The sequence below is a fragment of the Homo sapiens genome, chromosome 14 (assembly GCF_000001405.40).
Source record: "Homo sapiens chromosome 14, GRCh38.p14 Primary Assembly".
NCBI lineage: Eukaryota > Metazoa > Chordata > Mammalia > Primates > Hominidae > Homo > Homo sapiens.
Genome location: NC_000014.9, coordinates 61,386,792 through 61,412,345, shown reverse-complemented (window position 1 = coordinate 61,412,345; position 25,554 = coordinate 61,386,792). Strand labels below are relative to the sequence as shown.

At 40.8% G+C, this 25,554-nt stretch overlaps 1 protein-coding gene across 8 annotated transcripts in view, besides 2 other annotated features; it reads right to left on the bottom strand.

Annotated features, from left to right (window-relative positions):
• The window catches only part of PRKCH (protein kinase C eta), a 363,509-nt gene that overhangs the window by 138,631 nt on the left and 199,324 nt on the right, over positions 1 to 25,554 (bottom strand). For 7 of the 8 annotated variants that reach the window (XM_024449661.2, NM_006255.5, XM_011536957.2 and 4 more), the window contains exon 2: positions 21,058 to 21,121. Coding sequence is in view for 6 of the 8 variants with exons in the window: in NM_006255.5 (NP_006246.2) it covers positions 21,058 to 21,121 (64 nt within the window). In the remaining 2 variants the exon portion in view is untranslated. Of the gene's footprint in view, positions 1 to 21,057; positions 21,122 to 21,992; positions 25,321 to 25,554 lie in introns of those variants that run through there. The other variant, XM_011536955.2, reaches the window with a different exon arrangement.
• Positions 23,472 to 23,841: an enhancer, noted in NCBI's record as "active region_8491". NCBI's record gives its function as "activates an Ori minimal core promoter by ATAC-STARR-seq in GM12878 lymphoblastoid cells {active_cell/tissue: GM12878}" and the evidence as "EXISTENCE:reporter gene assay evidence [ECO:0000049][PMID:35858748]".
• Positions 24,342 to 24,441: an enhancer, noted in NCBI's record as "active region_8490". NCBI's record gives its function as "activates an Ori minimal core promoter by ATAC-STARR-seq in GM12878 lymphoblastoid cells {active_cell/tissue: GM12878}" and the evidence as "EXISTENCE:reporter gene assay evidence [ECO:0000049][PMID:35858748]".

The window sequence follows — 25,554 nt, the reverse complement described above, 5'->3', positions numbered from 1 at the left end:
CATTTTCACTTTTCTACTTGTCTTTTTAAAGACAAGTATGTTTCTGCTTAACATATGGAATATAGTTATAATAACCATTTTAATGTCCTTATCTGCTAATTGTAACATCTGCGTTAATTCTGGGTCAGTTTTGATTGGTTGATTTGCTCCCATTATGGGTTGTACTTTCTTGCTTCTTTGTACATCTGGTAATTTTTGGTTGGATGCCAGACACTGGTTTTTGCCTATTGAGTGATAGTTTTGTATTTCTATAAAATCAGCTTTGATCTGGGACACAGCTAAGTTACTCAGAAATAGTTCGGCCCTATCAGATCTTGCTTTTTAGATTTAAAGCCATGCTCAGTTGGGTTAGTTATTCCCCACTAAGCAAGCAAGGCCCTTCTATGTACTCTACTCTACCCAATGCTCCATGACTCTTGAAGTTTTCCAGTCTGGTTGGTGGCAGAAGCACTATTTCTGGCCCCGTGTGAGCACCAGAAACAGTTATCTTTGCTCCTTTTGAATGGTGCTTTCCCCAGACTCAGGCAGCTTCTTTACACTGATCAGTTCTCAGAACTTTGTACACCTCCAGAGTTATGTCTTGGTGCAGCTGTCTCTTCTCTAGTACTGTATCCCATGATCTCTAGTGGCCTTAGTCTCTCTGGACTCTCAGATCCAATCCTCAACTCAGGGAGTCTGCTGGGCTCCACATGGTTCCCTTTTCCTGTGCTATAGCTTGGAAACTCTTTTAAGGCAGTTTGAAAAAACTCAGAGGTCTCACCTCATTTGTTTCCTATCTCTCAGGAATCATTGGCCTTTGTTGTCTGATGTATCCAGTGTCTTACAAATCATTGTTTCATTTATTTTGTCCATATTTTGTTTTTCACATGGGAAGATAAATCCAATACTTGTTTCAGCATTTGGCCAAAAGTAAAGTCCCCCTATAGGTTTTAAACTGAAAAATCCAAGAACCATCCCATCAGTTTAAGGCCTAATAAATACATCTGTGGCTGACTGGAACAGGGGTCCTCAAGTGTTAAGTGCCTGCCCTGTCCACTCTTTTATGCAAAGAGTTACTCTATGTCATGCCATAATCATCCGTTGACACCATTCCTATCTTGGTCACCGAGGAGGACAAGGGACTGGTACATGAACCAAAGAGACGTGTAAAGGATGAGCATGAAGGCTGGTGTCTTCTGAGGTGGCTCAAAGGTCTGCATAGTGAAGACAGCCTCTGTTGGATGGGATGGTTTGTTGGAAGTCGCTGGGGCTCAATCCTTGCTGAGCTCTGATCCACTTTCCCCAGAAGCCCACTGGATATCCAGGCTTGGAAGTCCTGACTTCAAATGACTGAAGGCCTAAGGAAAAGACAGCATCCACGATGTCTCATACTTTCTGTCCCTTTGCAATCACCCTCATTTTCAAAAATCATCTGTCCACAGCTCTTCCTGACAGGCTTCATGAGCCCAGGCAACACAGCCATTCGCACGGTTTGGAATTAGCCAGGCACACTGGTCAGTGTTGATAGTGGAAGGTGATCAGAACAGTAGGAAATGTGACCACCCAAGGGACCTGGCCATGATGGCTATGTTTATGTGTAGCTACCACAACAGGGATAGAGGTCGGGTGCGTTGCCTACAGGTAACGCTTATCTTTGAAATTAGAAGATAAGGAAAGCTCTGGGAGAGGGAAAAAGAGCATCCAATAATATGCTGGGGACTGCAGAAGGAGTAATTTAGCCACACCAGTGCTCTTTGCCTCACTCCATTGGCCACAATTGGTGCTGGAAGCAAGAAGCAAATACGCAGTTAGACTCCATTCACCAGCATCACCCCAATACCCCTAGAATCTAGGGCCTAGAGAAAAAGAGCCTTTAACAGGATGAAACCTGTCAAACTACTCAGAAGCAGCTGAGCCTAGCAACAGCCCAACGGATTTATATTACCCTACAGGCAGGCAGCATGGAGCAGAGTAAAAAGATTAACCCAAATCCACTCAAGTTAATCAACGGTTTGTCAACACATGCTCCCATTTCACATGGAACAAAATTGTAATTTTACCTTCAAAATGCATAAGAGATATTTTAATTAATAATCAAATACTAGATTTAAAGTGGATTTAACATATCACCATTTTTAAGAACGGGGTGGGGGTGAAGTCCTAAGTGAAACAAAACCTGCTCACAGACTCAAGAGATGCCATCTGGTCATTCAAAGCCAACCAAGCCTGTAAAATTAAAATCATAAAAGTCAACACACACTTTAACTTATAACTGAGAAGCTAATTTAATAAACTAAGGCAAATATTTGGGAAAAGGCCAAATGCTGTAAAAATACACAGAGTGAACCAACTCAATTTATTGGTGAATAAATAACAAAATAAACAACCACAGTCACTCCAAGTTGACAGGCAACATTTGATCAGGTCATCAGGCTGGTGACCAAACCTAACAAGCTCCTAGTAACAGGAGGAAAAGGCAGACGACAGGGGCAATGCTGCCTGACAATGTACAATGCTGGCCCTGGCTCTTACCATTCAATCTCTAGAGATAAGAAATTAATAACAAGTAGCATATACAATCTACTTTTAAAACATTTCTTTTTCCTGGGACCTAGAAACACCTTATAAACATTAACTCTTTTTTTTTTTTTTTTTTTTTTTTTGAGACAGGGTCTCACTGTGTCACTCATGTTACTCAGGTTGGAGCACAGTGGCACAATCATGGCTCACTGCAGCCTCAAACCTCTGGGTTCAGGCAATCTTCTTGCCTCCCAAGTAACTGGGAATACAGGTGCACACCACCATGCCTGGATTTTTTTTTCTTTTTTTGGTGGAGATGCCTGGCATCTCACTATGTTGCCCAGCTGGTCTTGAACTCCTGGGCTCAAGCAATCCTCCTGCTTCAGCCTCCCAGAGTATTAGGATTACAGGTATGAGCCACTACCACTCATTTATCTTAACAGAACTACAGGGAGAAGGTTCTCATTGCATTTCTGTATCTGTACTGAAAGAATCGGCCAGAGTAGGGGATGAGTTTCAAACATATCCCAAAGAGCAATTCCTTGAGCCCATGGCTGGGTCATGCTATCCTGGAGAGTAGAACTCCTGATCCATGTTCTGCTATCTACCAGCATTCCCATGGAGCACCCATGGCAGTGTGCATGCCCATGAACAGGGCTGTCTACGCCCACAGCCACCACCCCCATGGCACAGTCGGTCCTCACCAGGAGAGGCAATGCGGTGGCATCAATTAGCTGGACCCTCAAGCAGTGGCTTGGGAAAAGGTATGACATTGGCTCTGGTGGGCAGATTCAGAAAGAGCCAACATATTCCCTGTGGCCTAGCGAACAGGAAACTGACAAAGCAGCACACACTTTCCCCAGAGTTAGTGAATCCCTCCTACACCTTCCCGACCTTGCCCTGAAATTCTCATACCCACAGCTTTATAGTTGATAGCTCCTACAAAAAGCACATAGAAACACAGACCTGTATGTACTTGACACCCTCCTAGAATATGACGTCTATCCGGTGACGTTCAATAGCTGTCTAGGATTTGAAGCAATGGCCGAGAAAGGGGGCATCTGTAATCACATTTTTCCAGTATCTTTTAGATGATTCACCACCAAGTACATGGAAGTAAATGGGGCACGGATTTCCTTCCCAAGTGGGTGGGAACATAGTCTGCATCAGATCCTAATGCTACACTTTGTGGGTGTGTGCTTGTGTGCATAAGCTCATGTAACCTTTGCAGCAACCCTGGGTTTAGGTATCATTAGCCCCTTGTTTTACACATAAGGCAACCATTGCTTAAGGTCACGCAGCAAGGAAGGACAGGCAGCAGAACCAAGTCCATCTGATCCAAAACTGATGGTCCTCCCCTACCCATGCCCCTATCTCCAGCACAGCTACAGATCCCCAATAGCAATTCCCAGGAAATTTTGACTGTAAGGATTAACAGTGACACCAGAAATTAACTTTTGGGGGGCATTCAGGGAACTGTAGGCATCACTAAAAGTAGACCTATTACCTGAAAGCAGGCTAATCTTCTGATCCAAACAAATTGAAAAAATGAAGAGATTTCTCTCTCCACCATGCCCCCAAAAGCTCCCCAAAGCAGTGAGACTCTGTACTACCCAAAACCTAGAGTGGGAATGCCACTGAGTAGGATGGGATGCTGAACAGTGCAAGAGAGACGCCTGTATGGTATTCCACGAAGGGAAAGTATTTTCAGTTTTGACTTCAGTAAAGAAGTGATCCTTCTCACTAAAACATGTTTCAAAGTCTCCCCCAAGGCCACTGCACACTGCCCAGTAAACACATGGGACAAATGCTCAGATTCAGGATTGCAAACTGAGGCCAGAGAAGGAGGCATAGAGGTGTGAATTCAGAGGAAATTCAGACAACAGGGGATGTGGGACACTGGAGAACCCTGCCCTGTCTGAAGAGCTCAAGTTGGAAAACCTCAAAAGCATTATTCCATGCTGCATACAAAGCAAAACTGGTCTGCAGGCTGATTTCAGCCCATGGGCAGTCTGTAATCCCTGGCTAGAGAAAGACAGAGGCACAGACAGACAGACACAGCCAGCATGCAGTCAATATTCTGCATATCAGACAAAAGGTTCTATAAAGGCTGTACCTAAGTGTGACCTTCAAGCATTCAGAGAGGCAAAGACCAAGAATGTAGGAATTAAAAGTCTCAAATGAGGACGTCCAACACCCGAGAAAGAGGCATGGAAAAAGTGACAGCTCCCAGACACATTTGAGCAGGGCCCTGAAGCTGTTCCTTTCACACTCTGGCTGAGTGTCCCCACCAGGTCCTCACTGAGGAGGGGCTGGAAGGGGACAGCAGAGTCCTACTGAATTGCCATTCCTTAGTATGTTTAAGGAAATCAATACAGTTCCCTCCTAGAGTTAAGCTTCAGTCTTTGTCGATGAATTCTTTCTGAAGTCCTAGGTTAGAACCCCTCCAAGCATTGTTATGTTCTCCTGTGCCTGGGTGGATCCCAAGGAACCATTAGATAAGATGGTGGTATTAGACATGCAGTCCCGCCTTCAGAATGGTAGGGTATTTAGACTTAATAATAAATGCATTATTCATTTTACAGAGACACCTGAACTCATCATCTGAGTATTAATTATTAAAATCCCTATAATCCTAAGATTTAGATAAACTAAATGGTCAGAGCATGAGAATAGTCTCTGATGAACAGAATGACCACTTTTAAATCAGTCCCTACTCTAACACCCCTCCTTGCTTAAAACTACCCTATTCCTGCCCACCATGTAAATGGCTGTTGTTCTCCCTTTCTGAGTAGCAGATACATCCCATAATACAAACTGTGCCACAAAAATCAGCCCCGGATCAAAAAGTGAGATCTTGTAGTGGATGCGGGAAGTCATGAAATTGACTAATACACTACTCCAATCACAGCAAACCCCTGACAGAGTAAATCTCGGATGTCGAGTTCATCACCAACAAAGAGGAGACCAACACTGGTGGAGCCATGCCTGTCTACTGGAAAAACTGATGAAATCTTCAAACCTTTTTGCAAAAATAACTCTGCTCGGCACAATGCTGAGAAAGTCAGCGTGAAGTGGAAGCTGTTATCATGCTTTCAAATCAGTCAGAGAAATACCTACTGAGTTATGTGATCCATTCTTGGTTCTAAGAATTAGCACACAGGTGCCACTGGAACCCAAACACTGATAAATATAAGATGAATGAAATTTCCTTTCACAATTGTTGTTGTCATTTTAAGAACAGTATTAATCAAACCTTTTTAAAGATATATACTACGAAAAAACTGTGGCTCCCATTTTAACTGGAACCACTTTCAATTGTCTTTTCCTGGTCTCAGTTACCCCACAAAAAAGGAAATGCCTGTAACTTGTCTCCAGTCTAACAGTTGATGGGCAGCAAAGCCAACATTCCCATCCTGATTTTATCACTTTCAAGCCTGGCTTGAGTCTCCACATTAGCACTGAGTGTTTGCAGACATTAACAAGGCCTGTAGCTGCTGAGTCTCATGTGCCCCCCTAACAACGCAAAAACTGTAACCTGACCCTTGTCGCAGCATTTTAAAAGGTTCTTAAAAGAATACATTTGGGGTTTTTGTCAACTCTTAAACGACTACACCAAAGCAATACACTCCCCTGTACATTTTTTTTTTCCTGTATGTGTTTTTCAACTAGCAAACCTCCCAGCCACCAAAACTTTAATCAAATTAGGTATAATTTAGGACACAACAGGGATATCCAAATTGGCCAACCACTGGAAGCAGCCAAGGTGCTTACCTGAATTCTGTTTCCTTGGCCTCTTCCCCAGAGATTCTCATTCAGACTGGGTCCTGAGAATCTGTATTTTTCAAAATTCTCAAATAATTCCATTGCTTTAAAACAGATCCTCTTGGCATTTCATATTTTTTGAAGGTCCTATTCTCAGTACTTGGTAAATCCCAAATCTTAGGACTCACATAACGGAAGCATCCACATTTACATGAAACAAGAAGTATCATCAAAATTCAGTAAGAATTAACTTTCCAAAAGCTATATACTAAGTCCCTATAAGGTACCAAGACTGAGCTCCAACCTACTTACCTCTCCAGTTATTTAGTAGAGATCTATCACTAACACTTATTAAAACTCCTCAACAAATGATAGTTCACCACAAGTTCAAGAATAGAAGATTTGGCCAGGCATGGTGGCGCTCACCTATAATCCCAGCACTCTGGGAGGCCAAGGGGTGCCGATCACCTGAGATCAGGAGTTCGAGACCAGCCTGGCCAACATGGTGAAGCCCCATCTCTACTAAAAATACAAAAATTAGCTGGGCGTGGTGCTGCGCGCCTGTAATCCCAGCTACTCAGGAGGCTGAGGCAGCAGAATCGCTTGAACCCGGGAGGTGGAGGTTGCAGTGAGCTGAGATTGCGCCACTGCACTCCAGCCTGGGCGACAAGAGTGAGACTCCGTCTCAAAAAAAAAAAAAAGAGCAGAAGATTCCAGCTGCGCCTAAATTTTCTGACTTTATTTTTGATGAGTGAGGTGCTCAAATAAGAGTAATTTCTTAATAATCCATAACTAGAACTGAATTACAGCTAATTATATTTAGGAGTGCATGGACTTGTTATAGATTTCCAGACAGTCAATTTGAACTTTTAATGCTTATTAAGCTGGGGATTGGCTCCTAATTTGGCTTAGAACAAAAAGAAACCATGAGGGAATTCACAGAACTGGAGAAAGTTGTTATCATGAATTTGGAATGGTTTCCGCATTAGCAAAATACATCAAGTCATAAATAGATGTGATGCTGTGCTCTTCAAGCCCCTAACCAAAGGGGAAAAGACGTGCTCAGTGAGCCAAATGGTAAGCCAGCAGCAAGCATAAGTGAACATCACTTAAGTGACAAGGGTATTCTTGAAGAGGAAAGTGACATTAGCAGGGCACCAAAGTTGTGCCAACAACCATGTGGGCACCTCCCCTGACCTCAAGGCCCAGCTACACTCCTCTCCCTGCTGCAACCCTTACAGTATTTGCACTTCCTGTTCCCCATCCCAATAGACAGACTCAAGGTCCACTCCCTCCCTTTCTTCAGACCTCTGGCTCAAATGATACCTCATCAGAGGGGCCTTCCCTGACCATCTGATTTGAACAAAACAGCATACACATAGGACCCATCTCTGTCCTCTTACTCTGTTTTATTTTCTCCATAGCATGTACCACCTGTGGAGGTACATATTATGTTAACCTTTCTAATTGTTTATGTCTCCACATACACACCAAATTTTGAGTTCTGTGAGAACAAACCAGTGTCATTACTAAGTACATGCATACACACATGCATGAATATATACATCCATTACATAGTTTTCTACATAAATACTCTGTGGGTGGGTGGGTGGGTGGATGGATGGATGGATGGATCCACTAAACCTAAGTGGGGATAACATAAAAGTATTGCTTGACCCAGGACATTTTGTAAACAAATGAAAATTCCTAGAGGAGGCAACTGATTTTCTCCAAAATCCTATGAGAACTAAGTTTCCACTTACAAAATATAAGGTGGTCTCTTACATATACAAAGAATGTATCTGCAACCTCAGGCCACTGTTGTCCATGCCCACACTCCCCATCAACTTCATGCAGTGGGTTATCCACTGCTGACTTGAGACCAGAACACAACTCTCAGCCATCAGGATGAAAGAATGATGCTGAAGACGAGTTTCACGGTAGAAGGGAAGAAGCAGGTCTTCCTACCTACTACCTGTCCACTGACACAGGGTGTTATTAGGGAAAGCTTAGGAAAAGGGTTACCAACACAAGTGGCCTGGAAAACAAACTCTACTGTCTTGTTCATTTGAAACAAAGAGAGCAGAGAGATAAGGGGTTGCTGGAAATAAAATGGAAGTATAATGAAAACAGACACTGGAGCAATTAACTTTTCTATCAAAAAATTAAATCATTCTTGTTTTACCCAAACCTCAGTTCCATAGAGAGAATACCACATCACTATAATTTCAAGGAAAAAACAATAAAGCTTGAAAAAAATTAACAAACGAGTCAGCCTCTGTTTTTCAAGAACCTTGATTAGAAAAGGAGAATGCTAGTCAGTAAGCGAGTGCCATAGAAATGTGTCTCCTGAGGCTCTGTCCATGGATCTTGAGCTGTTTTTGAGGTTCAGCTTTTAGTGCTCACAGCACTGATCACTTGTTCAGAAGTATCGTGACTGCCTTGTTCTGCTCAAATCAAGCAAAGGTTTAGCATGAAGCTATCTGTAACAGGCAGCTCTAAAGTTAGAAACCACCACAGGCTTCTGAGTTGTTTTGGTGTCACTTCCTGACCTTATTTTTATGAGAACAGGCTTATAACAAAAACTGGCTGAAAAAGTACACTGCACAGCAGAAATAATCAGAAACAAAAAGAAAGTTTCAAAAAAATGACAATTCTGTCACCTGTATCACCTAACTGTACATATTTTTTTCTGATTATAACATACACAAATATGTGTCAGTTCCTTCTCCCTGTGGTCATTAAAATTTAAAGCACTGGGCTTTTGAAAGAATGTAAGAAAAAAATAACCTAGAAATTGTAAAATTTTTTGGTCCAAGTACCCCTTTGAATGGATTCTACTGATATTTGTCAAATTAGAAATTTAAATGGAGACATTTAAAAATATTTATCATTTATTAAAAACAATAACAATTCCATTACATGTTAGTATACACATTTTAATAAAATATAACTACATTTTCAAACATCCCCCCAAAGATAGAGAGAGTGGCATTATTTTACAATTTGCAAATCTCTTTAATGTCTGACTTAAAAGAAGACAGCTAGTGGGGAGGCGGGAGGGATAGCATTGGGAGATATACCTAATGCTAGAGGATGAGTTAGTGGGTGCAGCGCACCAGCATGGCACATGTATATATATGTAACTAACCTGCACATTGTGCACATGTACCCTAAAACTTAAAGTCTAATAATAATAAATAAAAATAAAATAAATAAATTAATTAATTAATTAAAAAAAAAGACAGCTAGATTCTTTCTTTTTTCTTTTTTTCTTTTTTTTTGAGACAGAGTTTCGCTCTGTCACCAGGCTGGAGTGCAGTGGCACAATATTGGCTCACTGCAACCTCTGACTCCCTGGTTCAAGTGATTCTCCTGCCTCAGCCTCCCGAGTAGCTGGGATTACAGGCACGCACCACCACACCCAGCTAATTTTTTTTTGTATTTTTAGTAGAGACGGGGTTTCACCATGTTGGCCAGGATGGTCTTGATCTCCTGACCTCGTGATCTGCCCGCCTCGGCCTCCCAAAGTGCTGGGATTACAGGCGTGAGCCACTGCGCCCAGCCTGACAGCTAGATTCTCATATCTGCTTCTGTATTCAAGCCACTGTAATGTTGTTCTAGTTGAAGTACATGAATACAGTCCAGCCTCACACAGAGTAATTTAAAAATATAATTTTAATAGATTTTTCAGATAATTGCAGATATTCTTCTTTAATACCACACAAAAGTAAACAAGGCGTAGTTTCTCAAAAGTTGGTTGCAATATAAAACTGTATCAATGAACTTTTCATACTTTAAATTAATATACATGAGTCTACCTTACGCTTTCAAGAGATCCTTGACCCATAAATGATTTTATAACATCTCGTACTGGCCATTGTGAAAATACGTGTTCACTGAATCATTGGAAGTCATCTTCTAAATGTTGACATATCTCATAACACAATTTTTAAAAATTACAATCGTTAATAACAACAAACTCATGAGAAAAGAATAAGTACTGGGAAGTTGTCAAGCTCACAATGGTGGATATAAACTTTCCAAAATTCGAATTATGTTTTGAAGGCTCTAATTTTATCACTGGCACCAAATACTTACAGTTGTTTTCCCTGAAGTAACAGGCGCAGTTCATTCGTTTTTTAGACAATGTCTGAAAAATCTGCCAGTTCCACAGTATGGTTTGTCTGTCATTCTTTCAAAGTAAAAATGGTGTTCCATGCAAAAAGTGGCTAGCTCAGCTAACAACTCAATCACACAAGTGCTTTTCCTTGAGACACAACAGTATTTCAGTATGAAGCAGGAATGCTTTTAGCATATTTCCCATTTTGTCACACAGAATGTTACAAAGGTATATAGTCAAGGATTGACCTTTAATAACATGAATAATGTTTACTGTTCCATCAAAGACATTCTTAAGTGAAACTAGATTTCTTCCTCCTGCAACTACGTGGCCATCAAGAATACAATGATGACTTTATAGTTTGGTGCCATGCTTTTACCCACCATTTCTCTTTTGCACCATTGGGGCAAATGTCAACACAGTGGGGAAAAAAGGATGAATAAAATCTTCGTATTATAAGGAAAACAGTTTGGAACTGCAGACTTCCTGAAAATGTCTCTGGAACTCTCAGAAGTCTGCAGGATCACACTTTGAGAATGAATTTTAAAATTTCCAACAAAGCCACCACCTAGTTTTTTCACTTACAGTCAGTCAAAATAAGAGAAGTAGGTACAGTGAAGCCAATGATGACTGGGGTATAAAAAGGCAAATAGAGCTATCATACCTATGCTGAACTCACTGATTGTATTTTCATCTTCTGAGTTCTAGCTTAAGATGTACATTAAGAGAACCTACTGACAACAAAACCTGAGCAAATCTTAAACTCAATCTGCCTAGAGCTTTCTGGCCCATCCATGCCTGATGTCTGAGAATGCTGCACCTTTCCTGGGTGAATGTTGGTCCTCCAGTTTAAGGAGGAGGAACTCAAGGGAAGCCTTGCAAAAAGACATCATCCCAAAAGACAAGACTCTCTGGAGGGTGGGATTATGCTATCCTGAGGACAGTTTTCCTCTAAGATGGAATAAAGAAAAAAACTAAAATGCTGCCCCCCCACCCCCAACTCCTCAGATAGCTGGATGGTGTAGAAAGATCTTGGACCTCAGCATTGCAATCTGAGCTTGTGTCTGGGCTCTGGCACTTACTATCCAGGAAAGACCATAGTAAATTAGCGTCTCTGAGTCTGGTTCACCATTTGCATACTGAGAATTACAACAGCCTCAGAAATTTGTTATAGAGAGAAAATGGAATAATATATAGCATGGTATGAACACGTAGAGGTACTCAGTTACTAGGTAAGAGTTTATCCTGCTACCAGAAAATAAAATGAGGGCTCCCATTGCTATTTGCTAAATTACAAGCCAACTCCAGTGTCTGGTCCTCAGAAGGCATTCAACAAATGAGCTAGATATTATGGAGAAGACGAGAGAGCATCTATGACAAGGGACAATTAGTCTCAATCCTTTAAAAACATCATTCGCCCGTTTCCAGTTCCTATTCTCCCATTCCCTCAATTCCTTTCTTTCTCTCCTACCCTGTCTTCAACCTGATAGCCACAATTGCTTAGACCAGCAAAAAACAAACACAAAAACTAAAGTGGTCACTCATTCTTCAAGCTAATATGCCAAAAGAATAAATTTTTTTAAAGCTACATTTTAAAAAAATTAAATCAACAACTTGTCACCAGGCTTGAAATCTGAGAAAGGAATGCTATAAATCAACTACCACCAGAAATCACTTTTTCTCTTTAAAAATGACATGCATCTGAAGTGTTGATACAGGGGGTAACTGTGGGCTGCAGCTTCAAAGCAGTAACACATGCTTCATCTGCCTTGATGGTCCATGTGCCACATGACTTAGCAGAGAACGTAATTATTTGTAAACCAGTGGGCTTGAGACAAGAAATGTGAGCTAAAAACTGAGGCAATGGGACAAAAAGAAAAAGATCAGACTCTTATTCTGCACCATTGTGCACTGCCTTAGTAGAGAGAAAAAGCAGATGCCAAAATTCAAGTGCCTTTCCATTGTCTCCCCAGGACAAATGTATATCTTTTCCAAGTTACATATTAAATGTCTCAAATAAGGAACAATTCAAGGTTTTAGCAGAAGTAAAAGGCCTTTTTTTTCTAAACAAGCTTCAAATTCACAAATAACAGGTTCTTTGTCAGGGTTTTGTTTTTGAGGAAGTTTTCCTTCCCCAAAAACTTGTACAAAATAGAATACCTTTATGTTTGCCTTGGGAACTCTGGGGAAGAAACAAGTACACTAAGAACCTTTTTCTTACTATCTTTATAAAGATACTTCTACCATTAATCCTTCTGATTTACTTTATTCTTTTAGGAAACTACCTTAAAATTAAACTTCGCAACTGCAAAATGTTATGTAATTATTAGTAGGAGATAATCTACTTGTCATTCACTGTGAGTGAGAACTTTATGACGGAACAAAAGGAATTATCTTACTCACCTGTTCCTACCTGCAGTTTTTGACTCACAGCTTATTATTTATTTAGCAATTTAAAAAAGTCTTTCTGAAGCACAGTACTTTAGTCATTTAAAATTTTTAACTTACTTTTTCATCATACATAAAAACTGAGAATCATGGATAAAACATATACATTAAAAAACCCTCCAGCTTTAATTTGTAAGTGGAAAGAGGTAAAATGTTCAAGTTCAAGCATCATTTTGATGTCATAACCCAGATTCTGGTTTTTGTTTAAGAAGCAGATATTCTTGAAATTTGTCATTTTATTTTACTTTTTAACTTATTAATGAAAATTTCAAATACATGCAAAAGTAGAATACTATAATAAACCACATGCAACATATAATCATCACCCAGCTTCAGTAAACAACTCATGGCTAATCGGGTTTCAATTCTATCCCATCTCCTCTGCCCACCTCTGCATTATTCTGAAGTAAAGCCCAGATGTCATATCATATCATCAGTAAATATTTTTAAGTGTATTTCTAATGGATGTTCTTTTTGTTTTAAGTAACCACAATACCACAATCACACCTAAATAACATCAACAATTCTGTAATATCCTCACAGATCCAGGCACGGTTTCCATTTCTTCACTTGCCTCCTGGGAGTTAATGTTTCTTTTATAATTTGTGTTTGAATTGGGATAAAATGTGGCCCATATATTGCAAATGATTAATATGCCTCTCTCTTGTTACTTTGGTTCTCTTTCCTTTACTTTTTTCTTCCAATGTTTGGTAGAAGAAACCAAGTCTCTTTTCCTGTAAAATTTTTCCACAGTCTGGATTTTGCTGATTACATCCCATGGTGTAACTTAAAATGCTCCTCTGTCCCCTATATTTCCTCTTAACTGGTGGTTGGATCTGGAAGCCTGACTGGTCTAAGGCTTGAGTTTTGGGCAAAACTACCTCTACTTTTTGGCAAGATCACGATGTTGTGTGGGCTTCCATCAGGAGACACATCATGTCTGGTTTTTTATTTGTGGGCCAACCATTTAAGTTTGTGGTTCCCTGAGTCCAAGCAAACTTCATTTACTGCAAACTATGTTCTCTTCAAATCGTAAAATCTTACACCATATTTCTTAGTAGCATAATAATCCAGCTACATCTTTTTGTCCTCACATAAGATGATGTCATACTTTAATTTCTTTCTGTTGTTTCTCTTCCAATTAAAGCAGTTATGAATTTAGTTTAATGCATTTTCCTCAGTTTCCATTGTTTCAATCTATTCTTTTTTTTGCTACTCCACTCTTCCAGACAAAAATTAGTCCAACATAGTGACAATCACACACATGGCAACAATGATGGAATCTGAAGGCTGCATTAAAAATCCAGGGCTGTTTCATCACTATAATAAATTTCAATTTGATCAGACTTCAGATCCAGTTCTTAGCTTCAGGAAGGCTTAGTTAGAATAAAGATTGACATTAGGCAGCTTTTTCAAAATAATAAATCACTTCTACTTCTGCCTCAGTGCCTAGGGGAATTCTGCACAGATGCAGAGTGACACCTTTAACAAGATGAACAGTGGTGAGGGGTTTCTGATCCAGTTGATAATTTTATACGCCTTGAGCTCTGTGAGAGACTTCCACAAAGCAATGAATGTAAAAGAGTTTTTCTTGCTCTATCTAAGTTCAGTGAAGACCCCTCACTGCAGGTTTTGAGTAGGTTCATCTGTTCTTTTTACCCCCGCATTAGGCATAAACCTTCACACAGCACATTGTATCATCAAACTTTGAAGAAACCACTGTTACCACCAATGCAAACATTACTTTTCAAAGCCTTTTGTGTTCTGTTCTTTCTTCTAACTTCATTATCAAACATTTTGGTGCCAATTTGGAAGACGGTAAACAATCTGGTGAAACAGTCCCTGGCATACAGCAAGCACTCAGATACTATTTCACAAGTAATATCTTAGCAAAATGGGTGTTCATTAAGTAAACCTTCAGCATAGTTTGGTTGGTTTGATAAACTATAATTCATGAGCCAAAGTACTTAAATGTTGATGCTCCACAGAGTTCTGCTGCTGGTCAGCCTTGCTGGTTTTCTTGCTAAATCTTCTCAATGGGCCTCTTTATCCATGTGCCTGTCTTCCACCTGGCACCTGGAGCTACATCTCAGGCCCAGGCATCTTGCCAAACTCCGGAATCTTATTTCCAATTTCTCCCAGACATTGCAACTTAGATTTCCCACAAGCACCTCAAACTCCACTTGTCCAAAGCTGGATTCATCATCTTCTCCCAGTTTCTACCCTGGTAAATGACTCTGAGGCACCATCTGAGCATCATCTGAGACTCCTCTTTCTTCATCCTCCACATCCAGTGGATTGCTAATTCCTACTGATTTTACTACACAGACATCTCTCAAAGCTGTCCCCCTCCTCTCCACCCCTACATATTCCAACCTAATTCAGGCCCTAATAATCTTGCCCTGAGACAACCTTCCAAGTCTCTATAATGGTTCTCCACACCTTAGATCTAGTCTTATCAACTAACACCCCTTCCCCACCCTTGAACTTACTGCCACCAAATCAGATCTCTGCTTAAAACCCTTCACTGGTATCTTATCATTTCTATTAGCCTACAAGTGGTGTGAACATGCAATTTATTGTCTGACCTGGCACCCTTTTGAAAGTGAACAGTGGCGCTGTTGTATAATTATTCTGGTGTAACCAACAAACTGAGCCTGTCCTGGGCAAGCCCACACATAAGCCCTCCGAAATCTCTGGCCACATCCCCCCATCCCACTCCCCAATCTTCAGCACCTCCACACCCCCTACCTTTAGCACCTCCACACTCCTTTTCGTTTCTTGTACAAACTGTCTCCCTCTCTTGAACTCTGTTCCCTTCTAGGCACAGTCCTATTTATCATTCAGACTTGTTTTAAACATCACCTCCCCAGAAAAGCTTTCTCTAAACCCTCCTGGCCAAATTGATTATGTAGTCCCATGTGCCAACACTATGCACTGGGCTTATTCCTGCCATGGGACCTGGCTCCCTGCATTGCATACATAATATGTATCTGCCTTCCCTCCTATGAGCTCCTGTGAGAGTGTCTATGTCTCGTTCATCTTTATCTCTCCAGCATCTATGATGTGATTACAGGTCTGCACCCAGCAGGTTTTTCTTATGTCACTTCTCAATCATGTCTTACATTTAACAAAATAGTTTTGCCTGAGCTAATTCAGTATAATTAATGAAAAATTAAAAAATGAGGTAAGTAGCAGTCAGTAGCCCCAATACCAGCCTTGTATATCACAGACCACCGTCCAATTTAAGTAATTTTTTTTAAAGGAGTGCTTTGAGATTATAGAATCTGAGCTTATGGCAGAACCCGCATAGGAGATCATGAAAACAGGCATGGAGATAAGCCAACATTATGCTAGCCACTGTCCATGAAATTCTTGAGGCTTCTTGTATAAAATAAAGTCTTTTCTTTTCTTTTTTTTTTTTTTTTTCTGAAACAAGGTTTCACTCTGTCACCCAAGCTGGAGTGCAGTGGCACTATCTCAGCTCACTGCAACCTCCACTTCCCAGGCTCAGGCAATCCTCCCACCTCAGCCTCCCAAGTAGCTGAGACTACAAGTGTGCACCACCACACCTGGTTAATTTTTGTATTTTTTGTAGAGATGGTGTTTCACCATGTTGCCCAGGCCGGTCTCAAACTCCTGAGCTCAAGCAATCTGCCTGCCTCAGCCTCCCAAAGTGCTGGGATTACAGGTGTGAGACACCACGCCTGGCCATAAAGTCAATGTTAAGATAAAACGAACCTGCTGAGTATACAAGATGGTCCCAGGGCAGGGGTAGGGGAAATGACTGGGATCTCCTTGCTGTGACAATAGGAACATGGAAATGAAAATCCCACTAACATACCTTCATATAGTACTTTATAGTTTGCAAAGCACTTCCCCATATATTATATCATCTGACCTTCAAGACAACCATGTGAGACAGACTGAGGATCAGCCAACATTTCCTGAGCTTTGACAGTGCCTCCAGGATCCTAGGACAATGCCCTTTTCACAGTCCAAAACACACTGGGCAGGCCTGACCTTACACTGCTTTTCCATGAAGGCTTTCAGTATCCAAGATGGGAACTAGAGCTCCAAATGTTGCACCAGCCAACCTGTCATATTATGGCTGGACATAATCTAAGGTGGCTTCCAGGAGCGAGGTCAAGCTAGGGACATGCTCTCAGTGCCAGGTCCAGGTTGCTGCCACAGCTGTGGCAGGCAAATGCGGGGGGGGGCTCCATTTCCTTCTTACTTAACACAGACAGGCAGCCATCACGTCCTCTGCATGTGACAAGGGAGCGGTGTTTTAAAGGCAGCAGCAACGTGCAAGCTCAAGCTGAGCCCCAGTCTAGGAGCCAAAATGAAAAAGCAATGCACGCACAGAGACACAGAGAACAGATATGGGGTTCCTAAAATATACCCCACCCGTAGATTTCAATATTAAAATTTTAGCATTAAAAGTCTATTTCTCATGGATAAAGCAGCTCTTCCAGCATCTTTTAAAATATGCAAACACACCTAAGAGGAATAGAGTACTATGACATCAATCTCTATCACTGTAGTGTGAATTAGCCTATGAATTAACTGTTTTCCTTATCAGCAACTCTTTCTGGACAGGGACCACTGGGCTTCTTGCTGCAGTAAGGGACAACTGTAGGCAGAGACAAAGGACTAGCTTAAAGCAAAGATGGAATTACCAAAGATAAACTCAACTCATCTCACAATTTTACCCAGGGTCAGCTCTGAAAGACACAACTGCAATGACCTAGTAAGAACTCACCTCTAGTATGACTTACCATTTCATTCTTATTATCACTGAAACTAAGAAATAAATACAATGAGAACAATCAGATGTATTTGGTGAGCATTTAGTCCTAGAGAGTTGGCATGGCTCTAAAAAAGTCATGTAATGATTATGGCACAATCAGACCTGGTCTAACATGCATTGCTTTACTTCGCCAGTCCCTTGTAACTTAATGCAGAGAGTTGATTCAGCTCGAATGAGAGAGAATCTTACCCACTCCTCCTCCTGACCTCTTTCTCACTGTTGTGTTTCTTTCTACCATAGCTGATCCATGTTCTACGTGCATGATGAGAATGTTTTATCAACAATGTTCCATAATACTACATTGATTTTATTTGACTAGGCTAGGAACAGACTCATTTTTCTCTGTACATAAAAGATACCAAGCAAAGCAAAAAGACCTTGGAGCAGGCAGAACACCCCCCCAAATTGTAACCTGAACAGTTTTTTTTTTTATGTCAAGTATTCTAGGTTTCTGCTAAATCCAGGTTTGTGCAAAAAGACAAGATTTAATAATGCAGACGATATATTGAAAAACTTTAACATTAAAACAATTCACCCATATGAATGGGAATGGTTGGCTGAAAGGAGTGGAGAAAACTATTTCTCAAAGAAAGTGTAACCAATTTTGCAAAATGCCAATACCAAAAATACAAACAATTAAGCCACATGCTTAAAAATCTTCATGAGGTTTTAGTAATGGTGAAGTAGCTTGATATGGACCAACCCTCCCACCAAAAGATTAAAATACCTGGAAAATATATTTTAAACAACTAGTTGATGATGTGAGAGAACAACCAAAAACACATACAAACTAGAGAGAATCTGACACGTGAAGGAGGGAAACCGCATTAGGTGAGACCCACATTTGTAGGGCTTTTCTCCAGATTATTCCCCAGGTTGTGCAGGATTGGGTAAATAGAACTCAATATGGAACCACAGTTTTATTGGCTTGAAGGCAGAATTGACAAAATTCAAGCCTACCAGATGACTGGATATTGAGGGGAGAAAACCTGGAAAGATGGGGCCACAGAAAGAAGAACCTCCACATATGTAAACTCTTCAAGCCCTCACATCTTCCTAAACTGTGCATGTGCAAGGGAAACTCTAAGAGGTCCAGACAGGAGCAAGAGCTAGGATGCTGAAAGATAGGAACTGAGATTTCAGCTGTTTCCCACCCATAGGAGAAAGAGTTAGAAGCTTGAGTGACATAAAATTAATGGGCTTAAAACACCTTGGGATTTCTACTGAAACCTCACACTGGCTATGCCTTACGAGCAAAGACCATGTCCACGGACTACAGAATTGACTAATTTGACTACAGATGGGTTTAAAGATACTCAAGATTGTTAAGATGTTAATTCCCCTCAAACTGATCTATAGATCCAACACAATTTCAATTCAAAATACAGCAGGATTTTGTCTGGAAATATATAAGCTGACTCTAAAACTGATATCAAATTGCAAAATACTGAGAATAGCTAAAATAACCTTAAACATACAAAAAAGAACGGAGTTGGAGGGCTCATACTATGTAACCATAAGACTCACTATAAAGCAACAGTAATGAGACAGTGTAATACTGGCATAATGTAGAGAAAAGAAAGAGAGATCAGATGGACAAACAGATCAACAGGACAGAACAGATAATCCAGAAACAGACCCACATTATATGGTCAATTGATTTTCAACAAAGGTTCCAGGGTGATTCAAGGGGCCAGGGGAGACTTTTAATAAATGGTGCTAGAACAACTGCATTCGTGTATTGAAAAAAAATGTTTCAACTCCTCTGTAACATCACACACAAATATCAATTTAAGAAGGCATACAGACCTAAACATAAAACCTAAAACTATTTGCTTCTTAAAAAAAAAAAACAAAAAAAGAAACAGGAGAATATCTTAGTGATCCTATGACAGAGAGATCTCTGAAGACATAAAACATATGAACTACAAAAGATGAGATTAACAAATTGAACTTCATAGAAATTTAAAACTTTTGCTCAAAGACACCATTAAGAAAATGAAAAGGCAAGCCACAGACTGGGAAAAAGTAATCACAATACCTATTTCTCACAAAGGACTCATATCCAGAAAACAAAGAACTCCTCTAAATCAATAATAGAAAGACAAATCCAATTTTAGAAAACAGGACAAAAGACTGGAACTGGAAATTATCAAATAAACAAACAAATGACCAATAAGCATGTGAGAAAGTACTCACCATCAGGGAAATGCAAATTTACCCACAGGATATAATTTCATACCCACTAGAATGTCTACGATGAAAAGCAATGGCCATAGAAAGTGTTAATGAGGATATGAAGTAATTGGAACTCTCATGCATTGCTGGTGGGAGTATAATAAAACCACTTTGGAAACCATCTGGAAGTTTCTTCTGAAGTTACACACACACCTACTTTATTACCCAGCAATTCCACTCCTATATAATTATCCAAGATAAATGAAAGTGTTATGTCCAGAAAAATTTATGTGTAAGAAGGTTAATAAAAGCATTATTCATAATAGACAACAATAGGAAAAACCCCAAAAGTCCACCAAGAGGAGAATGGGTAAACAAATGGATGCTACATTTATATAATGGGATACTACTACTCAGAAATAAAATGAAAAAAATACTGATATACACAATGATATGAATCTTCTAAAAACTATGCTGAGTGAAAGAAACCAGACATAAAAGAGAATATACTGTATAATTCCATGTATATGAACTTCTAGGGTAGGTAAAACTAACCTGTGGTGAAATAAAGCACTTTACTTATTGCCTCTGGGAGCAGGGGATTGAAAAAGGGTACAGGGAAATGTTCACAATAATGGAAATGTCCTGTATCTTGGATTGGGGTGCTGGTTATGCAGTTGTATGCATTTGTCAAAATTCAAATTGTTCACTTCTGATCTATCATTTCACCCCCATATAAATTTTACCTCAAGTAAAAAAAATATTGGATGGGGGAGTAGGGAGTACGGTAGCCACAGATGAAGAACAGAATCCCTTACAGGTCACAAATGAGATAGAGATTATAAAGAAGATAACTGGATCCCTAAATTTCTTTCATAGACATTCACAGGCAAACTAAAAGATGGCACAAAACCAAAGACGTAGAGTTCCACAGTCATGAACCAAAAAGACGCAAAAACCATTCAGCTACGATGACACTGGCTAAAAACAAAAACTCATTGAGTGTGTTAAATGAAACGTGAGATTGCCAGATTTAGCAAATATATTTAATTTGGCAACCTGAACCAATAGACCACTGGGCAACAAAATACTAGCCAGCCCAACTTATGAAAGTGATTTTTTAAGCATCTCTTACAACATGCTCTTTTTTATAATGTCCATGATAGAAATTCCTACTGAGTGTAAACCAAGATTACATGTATTCTGGAAACTACCCAAAACTCATTCTTACCTTCAGTGAAACTCCCGGTAAGGGTTATTACCACAAATACTTTCCCCTCTGGCTCGAGATCCACCTACAAAGAGAAAAAAAAATGTATATTATATGTTAGTTTTAAAATATTTTTGTGGGCCTTAAACAATTCATCACAGAGAGGCCTAATGTGTAAATCACAGCCACAAATCAAATAAATCTAAGTCTTTCATTAAATAGTAGAGTGGCAGGGAAACAAGTGAAAGCTCAAAAAACTGTAAAGACTGAAAAGAAACCACATTTTATCAGTTTCCTTCCTCTTGAATTTTATTCTCTCCCATTTTTGGCTTGTCATAATATAGACAGGCACATCCACATACTTGGTAATTGTTTTTGAGACCTCCATATCTTATGCATATGGCTTATAAGAGCAGCATTTTACTAAACCACATGGCAAGAATATGAAATAGAGAAATAACGGCAACATACAAGGTAATGAACACATGTGGCTTGGTCAACTGCAAATCTTTAGTTTTATGGAGTAAAAAGTATAAAGAGTCTCTGCTACATATTTCCACCAAAGTCTGGTCAATCTTAAGGAAGCACTAGGGAAGGAAGTTTAGGAGCCTTGCATTCACTACTCTTTTTTTTTTGAGAGAGAGAGGTAGTTTCACTTTGTTGCCCAGGCTGGAGTGCAGTGGCATGATCTCAGCTCACTGCAACCTCCATCTCCTAGGTTCAAGCAATTCTGCCTCAGTCTCCTGAGTAGCTGGGATTACAGGCGTGTGCCACCACATCTGATCTGTTTTTGTATTTTTTAGTAGAGATGGGGTTTCACCATGTTGGCCAGGCTGGTCTCGAACTCCTGACTTCAAATGATCCTCCCGCCTCAGCCTCCCAAAGTGCTGGGATTACAGGCGTGAGACACTGTGTCGGACTGCTACTCTTAATTAGTCACGGGAGTATCAACATACCTTGAAGTTACCTATCAGCTGAAATATCAAGACATGCATTCTGCAAGCAATGCAGCTTGAAGTCTTTTCATATGGTGTCGTCCTCTGCATATAGTCCAGTTTCCGAAAGACCCCATACAGCATGGCGCCCAGGATGAACAGCACCTCTGGCTCTGTTCTGATCACCACTAGCTTAGGTGGGCGGACTCCCCTCTTCCTACCGGATGCTAACTTCACTATCCATGAACACCTCTAAGCCTTGCATTGTGAGGCTCTTGTGGACTCAAATACATGAATTTACAATTGTCCTTAAATAAATCTTTTCAGATTCTGCCCATGGCTCCATTTTTATTTTATTTTTCTCTTTCTTTGGCTGTGGCTCCATTTCTGCCTTTGACCTTTCATCTGAAGAGGAAGACTGGCATATAGAGAAGTTTCACTAGAGATACGAATGACCATTTTTGGTCAAATATTAAATTTAAAATAAGCTGCAAATAGTCACATGGTACAGTGGAAAGAGCCCCCCTACTAGACCAGGCCAAGAACTCTAGTCTGATTCTGTCACAGCTGGTTCTGGACCCTGGGCAAGGTCCTTTACCACACTGAGCCTCACTCTTCCAATCTGAAAAGTCTATGGCATCATTATTTAGCATTTTTTCTCTTTTTTTTTTTTTTTGAGACAGGGTCTCACTGTCTCCCAGGCTGGAGTGCAGTGGCACAATCATAGCTCACTGCAGCCTTGAACTCCCAGCCTCAAGCGATTCTCCTGCCTCAGCCTCCCAAGTAGCTAGGACTATAGGCATGTGCCACCATAACCAGCTTGCCTGCTTATCTAGGTATGTATGTATGTATGTAGAGACAAGGTCTCACTATGTTGCCCAGTCTCAAACTCTTAGGCTCAAGCAATCCTCCCACCTCAGCCTCTCAAGTCACTGGGATTACAAGTGTGAGTCACTGTGCCTGGCATTGGCCTAGCGTTTCTAACACAGCCTCCACATATGATCTCAAAGATTTTTTTTTTTTTTAAGACAGAGTCTCCCTCTGTCACCCAGGCTGGACTTCAATGCTGCAATCATGACTCACTGTAGCCTCGACCACCTGGGTTCAAGTGATTTTCCTGCCTCAGCCCCCCAAGTAGCTGGGACCACAGGCACATGCCATCATGCCTGGCTTAGAGAGGCATGTTGCCCAGACTGGTCTTGAACTCCTGAGACCAGGCAATCCGCCCGCCTTGGCCTCCCAGAGTGCTGGGATTACAGGCGAGAGCCACCATGCCCAGCCAATCTCAAAGATTCTTAACAGTACTGTTTACTTTTTTAAAATTTATTGTATCTACCCATGACAAAGCCCCCAAAAATGCACTGGACTTACCCTAGGTCACCACCACACCCTGATTATATACTTTTTCAAAATAAAAGATGCCTGCTTTGTTCAGATTCAGAAAGCTTAACCTGTATAACAACCTATTCTTACAACCCACCCTTTCTCTGCATAAAACCTGTTACCAATGTGGTTACCACACTATAAATCACCTCCCTGTTCAAATCAGCTACTTGCATCATGACTACTGTTAACAATATCCTCTTAACTATCTTAATACCACTTGTGAACCTTTATAGAACAGCTCTGAAAATAGAGCTCTCTAGAGAGATGACTAAACAGGATATCAGCCTCTAATTGTCTCCACTCTCTGCCTTGACTTGTTTCAAGTCAAAAATACATTATTTTTAAAAGCCACACTCCCTCATCTTCAATATAAAGGCCTGCCAGAGAATACATACATACACATACATTCGACCTCACAACATAAACTACTGCTGGCACAGGCACAGTTGCTGCCTGGCCGCCTCCGCCATCCTGCAGCCCACAGCCAGCCCGTAAACTCCCTTCAACACTTCCCTGAGGGCCCACAAAGGCCTTTCCACCCCAAGATGGGTCAGGAGCTACTCTGACAGACAGCAGGAGATTCCACCAGTTAGAAGCAGGAGCTCTCACAAGTAGAACAGGTTTCCTTCCGCATTTTTGACCCATGTCACCCACTGTGGTGGAAAAGCCGGATTTAAACACGGTCTTCAAGTGTTGTCCACCTAGGGCAGATGTGGTAAGACACTGGACCTTAGAACAGGGTTTTACAAACTGCAGGTTGAAACTTTTTAGAGAGACATGAAAGCAACTTAGTGGGTTGCACACAATGGGGATTTCTTTCTTTTTTTTTTTTTTTTTTTTTGAGACAGAGTCTCGCTCTGTCACCCAGGCTGGTGTGCAGTAGCACCATCTCGGCTCACTGCAATCTCTGCCTCCTGGGTTCAAGTGATTCTCCTGCCTCAGCCTCCCACATAGCTGGGACTACAGGCACATGTCACCACACCTGGCTGATTTTTGTAATTTTAGTAGAGATGGGGTTTCGCCATGTTGGCAAGGCTGGTCTCAAACTTCTGACCTCAGGAGATCTGTCCACCTCAGCCTCCCAAAGTGCTGGAATTACAGGCATGAGCCACCACACCCAGCGGACAATAGGGATTTCAAAGTAGAATAAAAACAGAACAGAAAATATGAACATGCTACAGGTAGTAAGGAAAAGCACTGTTTCATGCAACTTTTGTGTGTAGTTTTGTATACATATAAAAGGGTACAGTAGGTTTTAATGTAAAGATGTATTCCTTACTGTGTCACAGAGAAACAGTTTGAAAAATGTGGCTTTGGAGGTTATTTGTTCCTTCTATACACTGCTGATGGGCTGTTATCATTTATTCACGGTAGTTGCTTAGATACCCCCCAGTGACAACCAATTCACTACCTTAACAGCTGGCCTATTTCATTCCTGTACAATATAGACAGATCTTTCTCTATGAATACAAACGCAGCAAGACCAATAATTTCCACTCATTTACCTTAGTTTCGCCCTCTACAGCTCCAGTGGACACTGTCTCTAGCTAGTACATCCATCCCAGCTTCTGGGAATAACACTTGAGCTTTATTTGAGAACTACTCCTCCCTCACATGTAGTCCAAATGGCTCATCTGGGATTCTGCCCCTAACTCCAGAGTGGACATGTGAGCAGGCCTAGCAGATCAGAGCACTGACTGAACTCTGCACAGCTGGCCTGGGGCAGGCACATTCCTTCTCTCTGGCTATCAGTGTAATTACAACTCCCTACCCGGTATCAGCATCTACTGGTTCAGGTTTGAGCACAAAAATCCAAGTAGGTCCAACTAGGAATCCTGGATCTACAAGGAAGGGACAAGATCTCGCTTCTGCTAAACTTCAATCTGGAAGGACACAAACTTGGGAGTGTCCGGCACCTGTGTTGTCCCCCCACTGAGCTACAGAATGAAGCCAACAAAGAGGGGAGAGCTGAGGGACAGAAAGAGAACAGCTCTTCGTAACATCATTTAAACCCTTAGATCAAGCCTTGCTTGATTCTTTGGGATTTTTTTTTGTTATTTGAGCCTATAAATTCCTTTTGTCTTAGCCAGTTTGAGTAGGGGTTTCTATCACTTGCACTCAAAAAACATATTCAAATTGTCAGCCAAAGAGAATAGGTCAAATATTCGACAACAATTATCACATCCCTCTATGCCTT